The sequence below is a fragment of the Homo sapiens genome, chromosome 16 (assembly GCF_000001405.40).
Source record: "Homo sapiens chromosome 16, GRCh38.p14 Primary Assembly".
Taxonomy (NCBI): domain Eukaryota; kingdom Metazoa; phylum Chordata; class Mammalia; order Primates; family Hominidae; genus Homo; species Homo sapiens.
Genome location: NC_000016.10, coordinates 86,558,169 through 86,576,876, shown reverse-complemented (window position 1 = coordinate 86,576,876; position 18,708 = coordinate 86,558,169). Strand labels below are relative to the sequence as shown.

At 52.5% G+C, this 18,708-nt stretch overlaps 1 protein-coding gene and 1 long non-coding RNA gene across 2 annotated transcripts, besides 3 other annotated features; one reads left to right on the top strand and one right to left on the bottom strand.

The window, feature by feature from the left end:
• Nucleotides 6,035–6,536: an enhancer, noted in NCBI's record as "NANOG hESC enhancer chr16:86603947-86604448 (GRCh37/hg19 assembly coordinates)". NCBI's record gives its function as "activates a minimal SCP1, AML or CMV promoter by ChIP-STARR-seq in naive H9 embryonic stem cells {active_cell/tissue: H9 hESC(naive)}" and the evidence as "EXISTENCE:reporter gene assay evidence [ECO:0000049][PMID:30033119]".
• On the bottom strand, nt 7,149–10,048 carry FOXC2 (forkhead box C2). The gene has a single exon (NM_005251.3). The coding sequence runs from the start codon at nt 9,539–9,541 to the stop codon at nt 8,036–8,038; it is 1,506 nt and encodes a 501-aa protein (NP_005242.1). The 5' UTR covers nt 9,542–10,048; the 3' UTR covers nt 7,149–8,035.
• Nucleotides 8,745–9,328: an enhancer, noted in NCBI's record as "H3K4me1 hESC enhancer chr16:86601155-86601738 (GRCh37/hg19 assembly coordinates)". NCBI's record gives its function as "activates a minimal SCP1, AML or CMV promoter by ChIP-STARR-seq in primed H9 embryonic stem cells {active_cell/tissue: H9 hESC(primed)}" and the evidence as "EXISTENCE:reporter gene assay evidence [ECO:0000049][PMID:30033119]".
• FOXC2-AS1 (FOXC2 antisense RNA 1) lies at nt 9,116–11,732 on the top strand. The gene is made up of 2 exons (NR_125795.1): nt 9,116–9,260; nt 11,559–11,732. It is a non-coding gene; the product is annotated as an FOXC2 antisense RNA 1 (long non-coding RNA).
• Nucleotides 9,329–9,913: an enhancer, noted in NCBI's record as "H3K4me1 hESC enhancer chr16:86600570-86601154 (GRCh37/hg19 assembly coordinates)". NCBI's record gives its function as "activates a minimal SCP1, AML or CMV promoter by ChIP-STARR-seq in primed H9 embryonic stem cells {active_cell/tissue: H9 hESC(primed)}" and the evidence as "EXISTENCE:reporter gene assay evidence [ECO:0000049][PMID:30033119]".

Sequence of the window (18,708 nt, the reverse complement as noted above, 5' to 3'; positions counted from 1 at the left end):
AGGAAGGGTGGAAAAACCGGCCTGGGTACCGGCACTGCCTGCGGGAGCGACAGGCCAGTCCCTGGGACACCTCGGGCCTCCCTCCGCGGCCCTGCTCCTCTAACGTGGGTCCAGCGAGCAGCCCGGCCGCGCCCGCCTAGGTCCTGGGGGTGAACCTCTGGCCAGGAGGGGCGAGGCTTTGTCTTTTCGTTACCACTCGCTCTCACCCGCGTACCCCTTTCAAACTTGGGGTGAAGAAACCTCAATGCCAGCGCCTTTGCAACCCGCAGGCCCCACAGTCTCTGGGGTCACCCAACCTCTCCGGGGCCGCGCGCCCCCAGCAAGCTCAAGTTTGGATCCAGTTCCTTCTCCAGCCTCGGCGCTCGCTCCAACACACCCAGACCGAGAGATAAACCGGTGTCACTATGCAACCCTTTCCCCACCTTCCTATCCCACAGCCCCTCCTGGAGCTCCCCACGCGGCACCCGAAGTCCAGCACGCACATCCCTGCCTCTACCGAAACTCCCGCCGTCCCGGCGCGTCTTCTAAACTCTAAGGCAAATCCGAGCTTGAATTTGTACGGTGATAAATACTGCCCGATTTGGTAATGGGCGGGACGTGGGCGGAGACACGGGAGGCTGGTGGGCGGGGCACCGATAGTAAAGCAAAAAAAAAAAAAAAAAAAAGAGAGCGAGAAAGAGACAGAGAGAGATTAGGAGAGAGAGAGAAAAACCAAAAAACAAAAAACAAATGCCCACGCTCTAGTCGCGGTTTGGAGACGCACACCCAGCCCCGCGCGTTTGCAGAAGTGTGCAAAGTCTCCGGGAGGTTTCAGCTGTAGAACTCCGGCTTTGCGCCCCAGCCCCGCTCCAGAGCGGGTTTGAATCCCGGGCTCCCGGGTGATTGATGAGTTTGTAACCTGAGCCTAGGAGGGGCCTCTGTTAGAAGGAACCCCGCGCTGGGGCAATTTCCATATTTCCGGGGAGTGCAGGCTCAAGCCCTAGGAGTCCGAGAGCGGATGCGCCCTCGTGCGGAGGCTCTGTTGGCTGAGGCCAGAGCGAAGGGCCTGCGGGGGGCAGCCGAGCTGGGAGACGGCCGGGCGGGCCTCTAGAACGAGTGTCCTAGAGAGCCAGATGGGGACACTGAATGTTCCCTGTAGATTCATAAGCCTCGGATCCCAGAAAAGCGCGTCATCTGAGAAGTCACTTGGTGAGGGCTCACCTCCCAGCCTGCAAGAAAAGCCTGAGATCTCTGGCCTGCCCGGATGCTCCAGAAGGACTGGAGTTTCCAACTCTGAGGCTTGAGCAGAAACGGGGTTCAGCGTGGGATGAGGGTAGTCAGCCTCCTTCCCAGTCCTGGGACAAAGCGCATGTGCGTTCCTCAGGGAGGCAGATCAGAGACCAGGCATTGGTGATGAAAACGGCCTCAGATAAAAAGGCTGACGGGTGAGAGACAAGAGCTCCTCCCACTGCGCCCCAAGCCATCCACTCAACCTTCCTCACTGGAAAGCAAAAAGCAGAAACCTGAGTTAACAGTAATCTGTGTCGCTTTCCAAACATCTGCATCACTTTTCCAAACGTAAAGACAGTTACCGCATGTACGACTTGTGTGTGTGTTACATACGTATGCATGATTCAACCGCGTGTAGCATGTTTGAGAAGAGCTGCGGTGGAAAGATGAAGGGTTTAGCCCCTCACCTTACTGACAACCTAAAAACATTGGAGACAGATGATAATAATATGAATAACTAGAATGTACTGAGCCATTTCATCCTCACAGCAGCCCTAATAGAAACCTTTGTCGCTCCCATTTTGCAAACCAGGAAACTGAACAACGCCCTGTAAGTTAACCTGCCTCAGGTGTCCCATGAGGAAGTGCTCCAAAGACAGAAAATAATCTTACAATAGCACCAGGTGTGGACACTCAGGGCTCCATGGAAGTTCTCTTGCCAACTCTTACTAAATCTGTGAAAGGCAGGCGTGGCAGATTCACCCATTTGACAGATGATGAAACTGAGGCTCGGCACATAACACCCCAAGACCCTGAAAGTAGGAAATGGCCGCACAGGGACCACAGCCCACGTGAGTGTCCTCCAAAAGTGGGTGCTCTGGGGTCTGACATGCTCAGGTATCTGGAAGGACTCAGAGGCAGAGATTGTCTGGAGTAGACAGTGGGAGAGGGGCCCTCCAGAGAGGAGAGGGTGTGCAGCACCCCTGGAGCTGGGAGATTCAGGACATTATAAGAAAATCCCAGAGTCCTTGCTTATGTTCCACCAAAACCCAGAAGACCTCTTCCTCCTTCCCTCCCCGCCCACTTTGAAAAGAGTGGAAGATTTCCAGAGCTGGAGTAGCAGGGCCCAGGGCCTCCCTTCTCTTGGGAGGCAGTGAGCAGGACATGAAGGTAATGGTGGTCCCACTGAATCAGCAAATGCAGAAGGAGACCCAAAAGCTGGGCGGGACTTCCCAAATGATGCACTTATTTATAGCACACCTTGTTCCCAGAAATGATCGAAAGGCTCTAAACAGAGGCAGTTGGTGCACATGCTCTCACTGCGTTTTTGAAAAGCCCAACCCTCTGCTTTCCCTGTAGAGCAGGAAGGTTGAAAAAGGAAGGAAAAGCCTGGCAGAATTAAAGGTGAGTGGCATCTTCCCAGACACAGTGGCATTCCCTGCCGGGGCTGCATGGCACGGTATGATAAATGCAGGTCACTCAGACCAAAGATTCCTTTCTCTTCCTCTTTTTCTCTTCTGTGTTCCACGTAAACCTTAATGGCTGGTCATGACAGTTTACTATGAACACGACACTATGGAAGCACCTTGCCAACCTGTGTGACGTTCATGAATCCCGGAGATAACCCTCTCAATGCTATGACTGTTTTCAGCCGAGAGACTGTCCCAGAGTGCTTAAGGTGATCTGTCTGATGTCACCTGAATCTTAGTAAGGGCCTGAGTTGGTGCACATGGATTCAGCCTTAGAGAGAGGGACTCCACTAGGAAGGCCACCTGTGAAAATAACACAAGACAGATGGAGACCCAGGGCCAGAGGGCCGCTGAGACAGGTGAGGCCCAGGGTCTCCACGACCTCGCAGCCTGGGTGGGCATAGACTGAGGTTCCAGAGCATGAAGCTGCACCTCAGGACACAAAGGGGGTGGAAGCCTCCCAGCTCCATCCCCTAAATGGGTCTGGGATGCCAGCAGCTTTACCAACCATGCCCCCTTCCCTCTTCACACACCCACCACCCAGGATGAAGTCCCCACAAGGCTGACACTCAGACAAACCTAGCCCTCTGCTTTTGCTCTACAGCAGGAAGGTTGAAAAGGGAAGAGAAAGCCTGGCACAAATTACAGGTGGGTGGTGTCTTCCCAGACCCAGTGGCTGTCCCTGAAGAGCGGCTGCCAGCCTTCCAATCTCCCCTGAAACCGTCCGCCCCCTTCCTTACATGCCTATGTCAAAAAGCAAACATTTCAAACGTCTTCGTGAGCTGAGGCCATGCAAGAGGCAGGCAGGGAACGCTTCTCAAAGTTTGGGAAAGCATTTCAAATATGTGCTGCAAGGAAGTGCTCACTGGGAGGCAAGGGGCGGGCTCTCTGGGTAGCTCTGACCCGGCCTGTCCCACTCACCTGGAACAAAGGCACTGGACTCCAGACCCCCAACCAGCCTCAGCCTACTGGCACCTAAGGCATAAAACCTCAGGTCTCTACTTACCCACCTTCATCCCACTGAGAGAGTCAGCCAGGGACCCAGGCAAACACACGTTCCCAAGGTGCCAACCACAGGCTCGGAGACCCCAGCACTTTCTCCAGACACGTGGCTCTGCCCACCCTTCAATGAGTGTCTTATCTTGGTGTCTCCAGCTCCACCCAGCTCATGTTTTCAGTTAACAATAAGTTCCCATCAACCAACCTTGCCCAACACCCCCACCCCCTTTTTTGGATGGGGGTGGGGAGGAGGAGTGAGGAGACCTTCACAAGCACACAGGGTTCATTTTCACCGGTGAGCTGGGAGCTCTGTTCACAAGCCTCTCCCTGCGCCAGCAGCAACCCCCATGCAGTCACTGGGTAAAGAGAAGGGGACGGACCCCCGAAAGATTTATGAGCCAAGCGCAGAAGTTCCCAGGACCCTGTGTTTTCTTCTGCGTCTGGTTTCTGATCTTCATGTCTTGGTGGCAGGAGGGTCAGCAGCATAAGTGAGGCCCCATGGCAGCAGCCCTGGCTATGCCCAGAAGGGGAGCGCAGCGCAGCCCTGGCCACCTGGTCATTTTACAGATAAAGAGACCAAGGCCAGGCAGGGGAAGTGGTTTGTTCACACAGAAAGATGTGGTCTTCTCATTCCTAGCCCAGTGCTCCAGCAATTCCCGGACAAAAGTCACAGCAAGATTTGCATCTTCAGGGATAGGTCACCTATTCCAGAGCAGTGATGGCCTTTTGACCACAGACCCAAGCCCAGCCTTCCAGAGGCCTGGGCACGGCCAGCAGGATGCAGGCAGTCCCTCTTCCTGAAAGCTGTGAACTTGGGGTGGAGCCTCAGAGGTTACACAAGATGGCCCATTCGAGGAGGCTACTCTGGCTATAGCCTCTCTGGGGCTGAGAATGTACGGGATGCTCAGAGGCCATGGGGGTCTCTCCGGGTGGCCCATATCTGTCATAACCGGACTGTGCTTAGAGTCAGAAGCCACCCAGCCAAAACCCGCCAGGGACGCAGCGTTAAATCAATGGGAAGGTCTCTGCCATGGTGTTCGGGCACTTTCATTTTATTTGCCACACCTTTGTGATTAGCCCTGCGATATCTTCTTACTGGGTCAGGAAGGCACAGGGTTATCAGACAGACTTCGTGCAAACTGCATTTGCGTGGTCTGCAGAGCCGCCCCAGCCCAGAGTCCCTGCAGCCTGTGGCAGACACTCTGACCCTACCATCCTCAACCTCCTTCCACCTTTCCTTGAAAGGCCCAGAACCTCCTGAGGACCAGAAGGCAACAGGAAAAGGTGGTAGATGAGTGAATCAAGAATAGCCAATGCCCCGGGCACGTACTTTTTGTACACTGGGCAGCAGACGAGCAGGGTGGCTGCCAAGATGCAAAACTGTTGGTGAGAACGTTGGCTATTCACAGCACGTGCTGTGGAATCTTCCCACTCTGCTGGGAGAGCAACAGATGCCCCAGAGGCCATTAAGCCCCCAGGCCTGAGGTCCACACAGGCACTGCAGGACGCAGGGGTTGCAGAAGACAGGGGCTGCACAGAGCTCTGAGCCAGCTCACAGCACAAGGGGCCACCGGCCTTCTAGCACTTACCGCACCTATCCCTGTCCCCACTGAAACGAGGAAACCTTGAGTGACAGGGCCCTCAGATGAGTCCCAAAATCCCCAGGCCGCTACACACTAAGGGCCTGGTTCTCCACTCTGCTGCCGCCGAAGACCTGAATAAAGCTTCAGATACAATCCCCCCGTTGCCCACGTTCCCCAAGGAGTGGAAAAAACCCCTCCCGATAACCTCCACAAGGGCCACTCACTTGGGCTTCCGGCCCCCACACAGCAGGACTTCTTTAAAAAGGCTTCCTAAAGGTGCAAAAGCCCAGCTTAGTTTCAACAGCAGAGCTGGGGGCTCTCAGCCACACCGTCGCTCTCCTTTATTTTCCGTGTGTCTCTCAGGCCTCGCCACTAACAGGACACCAACGGTTTCAAAGCTTACGATGAGGGCAAGCTTTCAGAAAGATTTCTTTAAAACGTCTAGGGAAGGGAAAAAGCCAGCTCGCTTACCGTCTGGAATACTCTCCTCTTCTCCTGGGGCAAATAGCATGAAGCGAGCAGAAGTAAAATGAAACCATCACGGCAGACGCAGGCAAGGAGCTTGGGCCACCTTCTTCTGCAGCTTGGAGAGGGTCTCTCCCCACCCCTACCTCCTTAACTTCCTCCTCCTGTTCACTCAACCAAAGCCCGTCTGGCCTGGGGCCTGCTGAAAGTCTAGCACCCGGACACCCGGGAACCCGCACATTATGAAAAAGAATGAGACAGCCGCCAAGTCTTAACTGTGTGCCACCTCTGGGGCCACAGATTGAAAGAGTCTGTGTTGCACATGTGGGGAAAATTATTATGCTTTAAGCTTCCCCTAATTCTATTTCAACATAGCGTGGAGATAAAGTGCCATGTTGAAAACAACAAGAAAAACACCCGGGTTACGTTCAGCGCCACTGCATCAAGCAAAATCACCTTTAGCAAAATCATCTGGTCTTGAAACGTTAAGCTCACAAAGAACTTCAGCATTAGCAAGGTACAGCTCACCTGCTGGGGTGGGAATTGATGAAGCTTTGGTCCCCAAATTCACACATAGAGGCCAGCAGGGGAGTGGTGGACTTCAGCCATTGAAATAGATAATAAAGCCATTTCGTCAGCTACATTTCACAAAAACTATGTTACTATTAAAAATGTAAAAGACGAGATATTAACATTGAAAACAAAAAATAATCTCTATTATTTAACATATTGAAAAACTTGAATTTAGAACTCTAAAAATATCATAAATTATTTTTGAAGGGTAATGAGGTTTTAAAATTTTTCACTGCGATGAGGGTGTAGATTTAGACATGACATTGAGAAGTAATAAAGTCTGAAATTCCCCTCTGATCTGGCCGCTAAGGGGGATGGATATCAAACGCTAGAAAATCCGTCCCCTTCAGACCTTCATTGGCCCAGTTCAAATTCTCTGGAAAACTATTAAAGCAGGCAAAGAGGCTCAAATTTTATAAAATCGGGGGAAAGCAGGACTCACCCTGGGTTGCAGTTAGCAAACGGGAAATGTTTATTCTTCCCTTCCTTCACCTCCTAAACTGGGGACGGCTGGACACTGAGATGGAGTGGCACTGTTTGTTTTGACAATTAGCATGTTTTTGTGCATTTAAGAAAATGCATCACGGCAAACTCATGGTCCGGTCCTTCAGGCAGCCCCCTCCAACTGGGCGGTTTCTCGAAAAGAAAAAATCCTAGAGTGGGATTTTAAAATTAATCAAAAGCCTTTTTCTGTCACTAAACAAGACAGCAGGTGTGTGCTCCTATTCTCTGGTCGTTTTTATGTGTCTACACATATACCCACCTGTGTAACAAAAATAATCAAAGCAGGTGGGTTTGCAAACACACCTCGTTTGTAAAAAATGCAACAACACAAACACACTGTCCAAACTTTGGGCAGAAAAAACAACATGGGTTTATTTTAAGGTAAGTACAACGATTAAGACCACGTAAGACAAACACAGATGAAGTTAGAGTTTTTAAGCTTTTTTTTTTTTTTTCTTTTAGGAATACTCAGGGTGGAACCTACTATACAAAACCATCACACTTTGTAAATAAAAAGTATCAGATACTTGACTTCTTTATCCACCAACAAAAAAATAAATTATTTTCTTGTTTTGTAAAAGACCTACAATGGGAAAAAGAATTATATCTCATAATTGTACAGGAAACAAAACCCACATCGGTTTCTTGAATTCAATTTGGCAGTTAGAAATGGTTGGGCAAGATGAAAAACTTATCCAGTGAACTCAACTTTAAATATTATATTAATGGCTCTGAACAACAACAACAACAACAAAATAGCCTGATTACAAATCCACACATTTGTACAGCACGGTTGGAGAAATTTAAAATTACACACAGCACATATATTATCTATAGAGACCCCCATACACCTATGGGGACCCCTACAGAAAGTCACTAGGGGCTCGCTATGGGATTTGGTCCATAACTTAACTTTTGAAAGCTCAGGTCGAGCACAGCACAGCCGTCCTGGTAGGGGAGGGGGATTTTAAGATCAATACTCATTTTGTTGGGCTGCGTCCCTTTGGAGGGGTTTCCTGGGATCCCAGAAACGGGGCGGCGAATTAAAGTTACCTGCGCTCTTCACAGACGGCTGGGGGCTAGCGTGCCCGCTCTCTGCTCCCGGGTCTGAGAAAAGGTTGGTGGACATGTTTTGTTTCTTTTTTGCGTCTCTGCAGCCCCTTAATTGTCTGGTTGGGTCGGGGCTGGGAAGCGAAGCCGGAGCGGGCCGGGGAGGGGAGGTCCCGGGACACGTCAGTATTTCGTGCAGTCGTAGGAGTAGGGGGCTGCGTGGCGATAGAGAGGCGGCGTGGATCTGTAGGGCAGCTGGCAGCTGGCATTGCCACTCACCTGGGACTCCCCGAGGGTCGAGTTCTCAATCCCCAGCCGGTGGGAGTTGAACATCTCCCGCACGTTGGGGAAAGTTTGCTGCTGGGCCGCGAACGTGTGGCCGGGGAGGTGGTTCAGGTCCCCGCTGTGGTTGAGATACCAGGAGGCCGCCTGCGCCGCGGCGGCCCCGGGCTGCGGCGTCGGCTGGGGCTGGGGAGCCGGCGGGGGCGGCGGCGCCTGCGGGTGGTGGTGGCCGTGGTGCTGGTGGTGGTGGCCCGTGGCGGCGAGCGCGCCCTCCTGGCCGGCGGCGAGGTTGAGAGCGCTCAGGGGCGACGTGGGGCCGCTCGGGTGGTCCGAGAGGGCCTCGTCCAGGGCGGGCGGGACGCACATGTGCGCCGGCCGCTCGGCCCCGGTGTACAGGCTCATCGCTCGCATGCTGCACTGGTAGCCCCCGGCGGCCCCGGCCTCCAGGCCCTGAGCGCACGGCTGGCCGTAGGCGGCGGGCGGCGCGGCGGCGTAGGGCAGCGCCAGCGGCGGCACCACCAGGCCCGCGCGTCCGGCCCCCGGGCTCAGCTCTCCGCCCGGCGGCGACGTTCGCAGGGTCATGATGTTCTCCACGCTGAAGCCAGGCAGCCCGTTGGGCGCCGCGGCGTGGTGCTCCGGCAGCGAGCCGTCGGGGGAGCCGGCGGGCGTGGAGGCCGCGCTGCGCGGGCTGCCCTGCAGCGCGCTCTCGGGGCTCAGCGTCTCCACCTTGGTGATGACCGGCAGCGCCGGGGACGCCGCCTCGCTCTTGATCACCACCTTCTTCTCGGCCTCCTTGGGGGCGTCCGCTAGGTGGGGGGTGGCCGGGGCGCCCTTGGACGCCGCCGGGGGCGGCTCCTTGAGGTGGGCCCGCTCCTCCTTCTCCTTGGACACGTCCTTCTTTTTGAAGCGCCGCCGGCGCCGCAGGAAGCTGCCGTTCTCGAACATGTTGTAGGAGTCCGGGTCCAGGGTCCAGTAACTGCCCTTGCCGGGCTTCTTGTCGTCGCGGGGCACCTTGACGAAGCACTCGTTGAGCGAGAGGTTGTGGCGGATGCTGTTCTGCCAGCCCTGCTTGTTCTCCCGGTAGAAGGGGAAGCGGTCCATGATGAACTGGTAGATGCCGTTCAAGGTGATCTTCTTCTCGGGCGCGTTCTGGATGGCCATGGTGATGAGCGCGATGTAGCTGTAGGGCGGCTTCACCAGGTCCTTAGGCGCCGCGGGCTGGTGGTGGTGGTAGGGCGCGTAGGAGCGGCCCATCCCCGCGCTGTACTGCTCCGGGTGGCCGGAATAGACGCCCATGGGGCTGGCCATGCCGCCGTAGCTGCCCGCAGCCCGGTAGTAATTCTGCTCGCTCAGGTAGGGCACCACTCCCAGGGCGTTGGGGTCGGACACGGAGTAGCGCGCCTGCATGCTGCTTCCGAGACGGCTCGCCGGCGCCCTCGCGCACGGACTGCGGCCGGGGGAGCGAGGGGGGCCCTGAGAGCGAGAGAGCGCGAGAGAGCCAGAGGGGGAGAGGAGGGGAGCGGGAGGGGCGGCCCCGGGCTCCTGGCAGCCTCCGGGGCGAGGGTGCGCGGGCGGCGGCGCTCGGGCCGAGCAGGGGCGCGCGCTTTCAGCGGACCGGGCGGATCGGCATCCTGGAGGGCGCGCCCCGGGCAAGCGCAGCGCCGGCCCCGCTCCTCGCTGGCTCCAGGACCCGGCGGCGGCAGCGCGGGCAGGCGGGCGGCCGCGGACCCAGCGGAGACGCCGCGGCCTGGGGACCCAGGTGGACCCTCGGCCCGCGCGAGGAGGGGCGCAGGAGGCTCTCCAAGCCCCCAGCGAATCGGCAGCCCCGAGGGTCAGCGCGCCGGGGTCCGAGCGGCTGCCCCGCTGAGCCCAGAAAAAGAGGCCAAGTCCCTTTTAGGGATTGGGAAAAGTTTCAAAAGTCTTCTTGCTGAAAGCGAGTTTTTACTTTCCTCGGGCCACGCCCCCTCCCGGAACTTTGAGCCAATCACCCGGCAGCTGAGAGGAGTCGGCGCCAATCGGGGCGAGGAGCGCAGGAATCCGTCGGCTCTAAGACCCCGCCGCCCCGGCCTCCGCGGCGACTCCGTCTTCACTTGAAAACTTTTTAAAAAGTTATATCTTATTAAAATTTATTTTATGATCACATTTTGGTGAATGGGCCCACATGCCCAAAACAAAAAGATAGCCACTTTCCTCTGTTAAAAAAAATCAATTTGAAATATAAAATAGAATGGATTAATAGAGTAAAATATCTCTCCCAAAGACCTTGTAAGTAGCAATGATCCTGGGACATTTTTCTTATTAATGAGTGATGAAGCGAATAATTAGATTTCCTAATTATGGGGGCCCAGGTGTAATGGATTCAAAGCAAACGCGCTGGATTGGAATGGCAGGGCCTCTCCTGGATGTTATACTTATTTAATCAAATAATTAATCATCAACAGGGAGTTTCCAGGCTCGGGGTCGTCAAGGATAACCTATCGAGGTTTTAGAGGTAAACCCTACAAACTGAGTTTCCCTCGCTCCCCGCCGAGGAGCCAGGCAGCGGAGTGCATAGAGGGGAAGGTAGCAACGTGCTGACTGACAACTTAATCCTCCGAATTCGCGGGGAATTCGGTAGATCATCCGCGTCGCTGCGAGCAGTTTTGTGGGGTTTGGGGAAAAGGGTGAAGTGACTCTGCTATTTCCCCCTTTCGTCTCCCGCGTGGACACTCGCAGCCTACCAACTTCAGCTTCGAAACTCGTCTCCCTTTTCCCAGGTAGAAATTCCCTCTAACAAGCTGACCCCGCACTCCCAGAAGACCGGGACAATGCAGCGACCCACCCGGGCCAGGCAGAGCCGAGTTCCTGGGCCCTGCGAGGAGAAACCCGAGCCTGTTTTCCGCGGGGGCTTGGCTCGAAGGCGCGCGCAATGAGCGCCGCGCACCGCGGGCACCAAGCGTGGACGTTTCCCGTGGCCCAGGCCGGCGCCGGCCGCTAACACCGACCCTAGGGCGCTGTCCCTGCCTCCTGCTCCTGGCAACGTCCCCCTGGGAGCCTCCAAGTTGCTTTTCTATATTTCAGCCTTTTTTTTGTTTTGTTGGGTGGGTAGGGTGAGTTAGGGAGCGCGCTCCGTGGGAAGACTGGGTGAGCGGTTGATTGCAAACGGTTCAAGATCCCTTCGGGATGATATTATTCGGCAGGCAGACCTGGAGCGACTTGGATCTCCTTCAAGGATTTCTCCTTCCCTCTAGGAATCCCGGACAGTTTGTTTATTTGTGGACTGATTATTTATTCCTTCCACACCTCAATAATCAGATCCCCTTTTCCCACTTTCCCTGAAGGAGTGAGACACCCCTTTAACAAGGCTAAACACGGGCAGAATTTTGGAAGTTGCTGGTCTGGTTGGGCAGGGAAGAGGGCTTCAGGGAGAACATTTGTATTTCAGGTTTCCTTGCACCCTTCCTGGCTGTTCATCGGCTGCGTATTCGATTCTCAGCAAAAGGATGTTGAGACAACCCACCAGGCCTCTTCGCTTCGGCCTCTTCGCTTCGGGGAGGCGACTAGAAGGCAATGGGGCGTGCCACTTATTTCCAATAAAAGAACAGAAGACGAAAATGTAGATGCATTATCTTTGTCTCCTGATCAATTCAAAGCCAAAGGGAAGCTACAAATCAGGTTCCTTTACCTTGAATATTCCACTTCTGAAACATTGTTTTTATGAGTATTCTGGGCTCTTTTTCTAACCTGATCCTTTTTCTTCTTTCTTTGAAACAAAGTAAAATAAAGCTGCCCAGTTCTCAGCTCACAGGCAAATGATTTGAGCTTTCTGCCCCAACCCTAAACTCCCACCATGACTTTATTATTTTTAATAAGCTAGTATTTCCGCATCTAGCTTAAAAAAAAAAAAGGACTAGCAAAAAGTGCCCTTCTCCTGCAGCGCATGACAGGCACACTGAGTTCGTGTCACGATTTTACTGGAAATGCAAACTATTGATCAAGAAACACTCCTCAGCCTGTAGGCTTCCTGGAGGAATATTATTTACTCTGCTTTTACGAGGGGTGTGTGTGTGTGTGTGAGAGAGAGAGAGAGAGAGAAACAGCTTTATCACAGCAAAACCTAAAATAGCTAAGGACTATGAAAAAATAAATTCCAAAATGGCAGTTGCTGCCTACGTTTGTATTCACAAGGGTGTCCCGGTTTAAACCAATGTCATCTGGGGAAACAAACAAACAAACAAACAAACACCTAAATCGAGTCGCCCAATATATTATCCACCCTCCCCCGCCCCAAAGAAAGGAAAAGGGGAGGGGAAAGAAATTCGTCTCATCAAGACAGAAAAGGTGAGAGAGACACTTCCCTTTACCCCTGGAATTAGGTTTCTTGTTTGCTCAGTGGGACTCCGGGAAAGATGTTTGTTCAGGTTATTAAAACAACGCCTTCCATACACCTGGACTTTGCAAAAACCGTATTTCCCAGCTTTTCTTTAACCTGCCAGGGTATTTCGGATGGGGGGCTGCTACTTTCTGGCTGATTTTCCCCCTTCTTGACCTTGTAAGTCAGTGAGCCGAACGCGGAATCGGGTCCCAGAGGGCCTCGCGTGTTCCTGGAATAATAAGCGGCGATAAAGCCTAAAGGTATTTAATTCGCCTTCCGCCCCCACCGCGCTGCGCTCCTCCCGGCCCGTGGCCGCTGCACCTGGAGCGGCTGGGCGGACTCCGTGGGTGTTGGCGTCATCTTGAGGCCAACCAGGGAACTACTACGAGAAAAGGAAAAAGAAAAAGACCGCCCGGCCCGCCCTGCTTATCATGAAGGTGCTGACACCTTGTGGATACTCCTGGGCATTGCACGGCTGGAATGGAGCCTTCAGAAATCTGTAAAAGCAGAGAAAGGAGATAAACTGCATCGCGTCGATTAAAAAACATTTCCCGTAACTTCGCAACGTGTCAAGAACATGATCTGTTGGGAAACAAAAATGTCTTTGAAACTGCTCGGGGAGCAAGAAATTTTCTCTAGGGAAACTTGCTGGGGTTTTCCCCAAATAAAATCTATGCCTCTTAGGTGGCTAGAAGTCTGCATTTTCTTCCCCCGGAGTTGTTGAACAAATTGCCTCGTCCATGTTTTCCCGCTGCAGCTGTCTTTCTGCCCGAGGTGTGGCGTGAGCTTCAGGGAATTCATCAGAAAGCTGTTTGTGCTGGTCGTGTGTTTAGAGGGTTGGCTTGAACAAGAGGCAGACTTTGAAACTGGGCAGCAGCCACTTCTACTTTTGAGGTACAACAGAGAACTCAAAGAGGGGACAAGTGAAAGGAGTTTTGTTTCTTGTCTCACTATTTCCCATTCATTCATTTCAATATCCTTCAAACATTTCTTTTCTGGGGTCACGAGGTGCCTTGGTTTTGAGGAAAGGGATCGGGTGGCAGAGGAGTCCCAGGCTTCCAGAAGCTGCCTGAGAACCGAGGAGCCCTTGGGTTACACAAAGTCGGCGCCACCTCCTAAAAATCCATTGTAATCCGGCTTCTAAACTTTTGTGGGACAAAAAAAGTGTCTTTTCTAAAACTCAGTTCAAGCTCATTTTACTGTGTGTGAGTTTTCCGGTGAGTGAAAGCCATGCTGCGCCATCGACAAAGGGCAGGGCCAGAAAGGACTACAGAAGCGGGTGGGTAGTGAGAACTGCTGTTGGTCACAAGGATTAAAGAAACTCAACAAGTAAACGCAACCCTCAATCCTAGGCGGAAGAAATTTTTTTTTCTTTTTTCTTTTTTTCCTGTTGTTGTTGAGACGGAGTCTTGCTCTGTCGCCCACGCTGGAGTGCAGTGGCACGATCTCCGCTCACTGCAGGCTCCGCCTCCCGGGTTCACGCCATTCTCCTGCCTCAGCCTCCCGAGTAGCTGGGACTACAGGCGTGCGCCACCACACCCGGCTAATTTTTTGTATTTTTAGTAGAGACGGGGTTTCACCGTGTTAGCCAGGATGGTCTGGATCTCCTGACCTCGTGATTCGCCCGCCTCGGCCTCCCAAAGTGCTGGGATATTTTAAACAGCAACCAAGGACAGGTTTGAGGAGACTTGGGAAGATTTGCATCTGGGATGTGTATGAGATAATAACCTTGAATCAAGGGTAAGATTCTTGCGTGCGATAATTATACATGGTCAAGTAAGAGCATGTCCTTGCTTTTAGAAGGTACGTGTCAAAATGTTTGGGGCTGATATTCATCATCTCTGCAACCTTTAAAAAATTCACCCTGCCGGGCATGGTGGCTCATGCCTGTAATCCCAGCAGTTTGGGAGGCTGAGGTGGGAGGATCGCTTGAGCTCAGGGTTTCAAGACCAGCCTGGGCAACACAGTGAGACCCTATCTCTATAAAAAATACAAAAAAAAAAAAAAAAAAAAAAAAGCCGGGTGTGGTGCTGAGCACCTGTAGTGCCAGCTATGTGGGAGGCAGAGGCAGAGAATTACTTGGGCCTGGGAGGTTGAGGCTGCAGTAAGCCATGATTGCACCACTACATTCCTGCCTGGGTGACAGAGCAAGACCCTGTCTCAAAAAGAAGAAGAAGAAGGAGAAGATTCAAAAGATTCAACCAAGGTGGGGTCAGAGGGGAGAAGGAGGGCAGAAGGTCGTGCAAAGGTAGTAAGATGAGAACAGTTGTTGAACCCGTGGTGCCTGGGTATTGATTGTATTGTTCTTGCAATTCTGTAAATTTGAAATTTTTCAAAATAAAAAATGGGAGTAAAACACTTTTGTTACTGTGAAAATTTGAAAAGAAATGTGACAGTAAAGGAAGGTATTTCCATGGAAGGAATTTGCAAAATGTTTAGCGAGGGCCTAACTTAGTCCAGCGTCTGCTCTCCTCCTTTACTGGAAGTTTCTGGAAAACTACCATCAATAGCTATGGAGTTCATCACAATAATTCATGGTAAAAAAAAAAAAAAAGGCACATTCTCTGAGGAGCTTATCTGTTTTATAATTCAGGCATTGCCACAATTAACCAAAGATGCCAGACATTCCATATTATAGATGTTGTGGGATTTTATTTTTTTTTAGACAGAGCCTCACTCTGTCACCTACGCTGGAGTGTAATGGCTCATGGCTCATGGCTCACAGTAGCCTGGAACTCTTAGCCTCAAGCAATCATAATATTAAAGATACATGTATGTTTCTTTTTAAAGAAACTTAGTCTCAGTGACCACCCTGAGCCAACCCCAGCTTAGCAGAGGGCTCTGTTCATCAAAGTCACTCAGGAGCCTGAGTTTTCAAAGACCACCTCTCATCATATCTGTTCCTGTCATCTAGGCAGGGGAGAGAGGTGATCCGGCCCTGGGAATTAAGTCTTCCAGCCTGGAAGTGACATGTATCACCTCTATTCACAGCTCATAGGCCAGAGCTGGTCATAAGTCCCCAACGCGCCCAGGGGACAGGAAGATCAGTCTTCCCTGGGCCCAGGCATCTGCTCGGCAGCCTCATACTGTCTTTCCAGGTAAGTAATGACTGTCCTCTGTTCTCTGCAGCCCCAGTGCACTGCCCAGTACCTCAGCACAAGATGTGTGTGCAAGTAGTGCTTGAGTGAGTGTACGACTGTTTCCGAGATTTCTCTCCTTAGTAGATAAGGGGAAAAGTGATGTGTACATACCCTGTGCCATGCACCGTGCTAAGCGTTTTGGCCACGACCTCTCACTTACTCCTCTTTTAGGGTAGGTACTATTAATACCACCATTTTGCAGGTGAGGAAACTGAGATCTTAAATAACTAAACTAAGTGTTGCTGCTGCCAAGTGATGAAATTGGGATCTCTTAACCCACTCCTTTGCTGCCTCTTTGAGATTAAGAGTTACGGACTTGGGGCTGGGCATGGTGGCTCACGCCTGTAATCCCAGCACTTTGGGAGGCCAAGGCGGGCGGATCACCTGAGGTCGGGAGTTCAAGACCAGACTGACCAACATGGAGAAACCCCGTCTCTACTAAAAATACAAAATTAGCTGGGCATGGTGGTGCACGCCTGTAGTCCCAGCTACTCGGGAGGCTGAGGCAAGAGAATCGCTTGAACCCGGGAGGTGGAGGTTGCGCTGAGCTGAGATCGCTCCATTGCACTCCAGCCTGGGCAACAAGAGCAAAACTCCATCCCCCCTACCGCCCCCCCCAAAAAAAAAGAATTAGGGACTTGGAAATTAGAGGAGATTTAAAAAGTTAAATGAAAAACATCCATAATGGTGTATCCATGAAGCCATGACTTCTGACCACACACAACTTAATGTGTATGAGATTTGAGTTTTTTATATCACTAACTTGAACCCCTGTGATTAACCCTGTGGGGTACATGGACTCACCGTAATGGCCTGTGGAAAGCAGGCTGCCCCTGGGGAGGTCAGAGAGGACTTCAGTGTTTGGACAATGACAGGTTGAGAAAGAGGCGAGGGGGACGATTTAATTTTCATCAAATGCGCAGCCTGTAGGATGGGTGTTCTGAGCCCCAAGGAATAAGCCAGGCTCAAAAGCCACAGTCTGGGAGCAGCTTCAGCCAGTGCTTCCAGTAACCACTGGGACTAGGGCTGGCGCCCACAGTGGCATAACTGAGTGGGACCCCAGTGGGTCTCACTGAATAAGACCAAGAGTGCAGAGCGCTCTCCCAGGGGAGTCCGACCACCACTGTCACTGGGTGCTGTCCACCTCTAGGAGTCCGTAAAAGCCAAGAACACTCCCTGGCCCTGGCCCCCACCTCTGCCTGTGTGCATCCCGACATGGGGCTTGCATGGCCAGCCCAGCCTGGACCCACCGCATGGCCTTTGGGCCTGCTGTGCCCCGGGCCTGGTCCCTCATCTCAATTCTTTGCCCCCTTGCCCCCTCCTCCGAGGCCTCCCCCAGCCATCCGCTTACCTTGCCCCCCCCACCTCCCCCTTTCTCCTCACTCATGTTCTCAGTGGCACAGGCTCCCCTGCCTGGTGTGGTCTCATTCAGTCTTCTATCTGTTGTTTGCCTCACCACCCCCATACAGGGAAGACAGGCAGGGGCCTGGTCCGCCCTGTGCACAGCTCTGCTTGACACAGACTCCATGAGACTCCATGTTCTTTTTTTTTTTTTTGAGACAGAGTTTCGCTCTTGTTGCCCAGGCTGCAGTGCAACGGTGCAATCTCGGCTCACCGCAACCTATGCCTCCCAGGTTCAAGTGATTCTCCTGCCTCAGCCTCCTGAGTAGCTAGGATTACAGGCATGTGCCACCACGCCCAGCTAATTTTGTATTTTTAGTAGAGACGGGGTCTCTCCATGTTGGTCAGGCTGGTCTCGAACTCCCGACCTCAGGTGATCCTCCCGCCTCGGCCTCCCAAAGTGCTGGGATTACAGGCATGAGCCACCGTGCCCGGCCACAGACTCCATGTTCTTAACTATACATTGAACAAATGGGGCTTCAGAGATACGCAGCCCTCCCCCACTTCACTGCCTGCCCAACCGTAACTCACAGGCCTTGCCTCCCATTTGTGGCTCAAGCCCAGGATTTGTTTCAAACATTTACTAGCACTTATTTTAGGCAGACACTGCATAAGAAATGGGGACTCATCGTCAAGTGCTCCCTGGCTCCCAAGCTGTGGCAGGCGCATGGATGATGACAGGCTGAAACTTTATTTTAGGTCAATGCTCGTAGAGAGCTCTCCCTGCATTCTAGGTGCTGTTCTCCGGGCCGCATGGATCCGGCACTTCACCGTCACCAGCGTGGAGAGGCGGATGCCAACGGTGCTCCTATCTCCACTCCGCAAATGAAAAGCAAGGCACAGAGACGTTCAGTGACGCCCCCGGCCTCACGCAGCTAGAGAGCTGCAGACCTGGGATTTGAACCAGCCAGGGAGCAGGCTCAAACCTCCACCGCGGTGCCGTCCCTGCCGCAGGATGGTGCAGGGAGGGAGGGGCCAGGCTGAGCAAGCTCAGAAGAATGAGTAAGGGGGGACGAGGCCGTGTGAGTTTCTTGGAGAAGTTGGCAACAGACTGGGGGCCCTTTCGGCTTGCCAGCTTGAACAAATGAAAATAACAATGCCCACAGACTGCATGGAACGTGCTTATACTAAAAATGAAAAAAAAAATCGCTTTATCTGAAGTTCAAGTTTAACTGGGAAACCTGTATTTAATCTGGCAACCTCTAATGTGAGGGAAAGAATTCTTCAAATACCTTTTCAGTTATTAGCTTATTAAACAATCTTACATTTTGTTAAGTTGGTTGGTGCAAAAGTAATTGCGGTTTTTGCCATTACTTTGAATGTAGATTGAAAGTATAACTGAAGCTACTGGATGTAGTTTCGGAGAACTATGATGTTTAAAGTTCACCGTAAAAGGGAACACAGCTTGGAGATTCAGAGCCACGCTCTTCATGCCTAGGCAGACTCACCATTTCTACGCTATTCCTTCCAGCCAGGTTCTAAAAGATGCCTGTGACAAGCTTTGCAATCCTCCGTGAACCCGCACAGGAATAGTTATAGCAGGTTTCTGTGTATTTGCTAAAACGTAGGGGCAACTGAGGGGTCCTGCAGTGCGTGAATGGATAAACCGTGGGACACCAACACGATGGAATATTACTCAGCACTAAAAAGAGAGGACCCTCCGGCCATGGAAAGACATG

Bases quoted from the DNA above. Each gene is read 5' to 3' on its own strand.
- FOXC2 (NM_005251.3), bottom strand. From the start codon at position 9,541: ATGCAGGCGCGCTACTCCGTGTCCGACCCCAACGCCCTGGGAGTGGTG.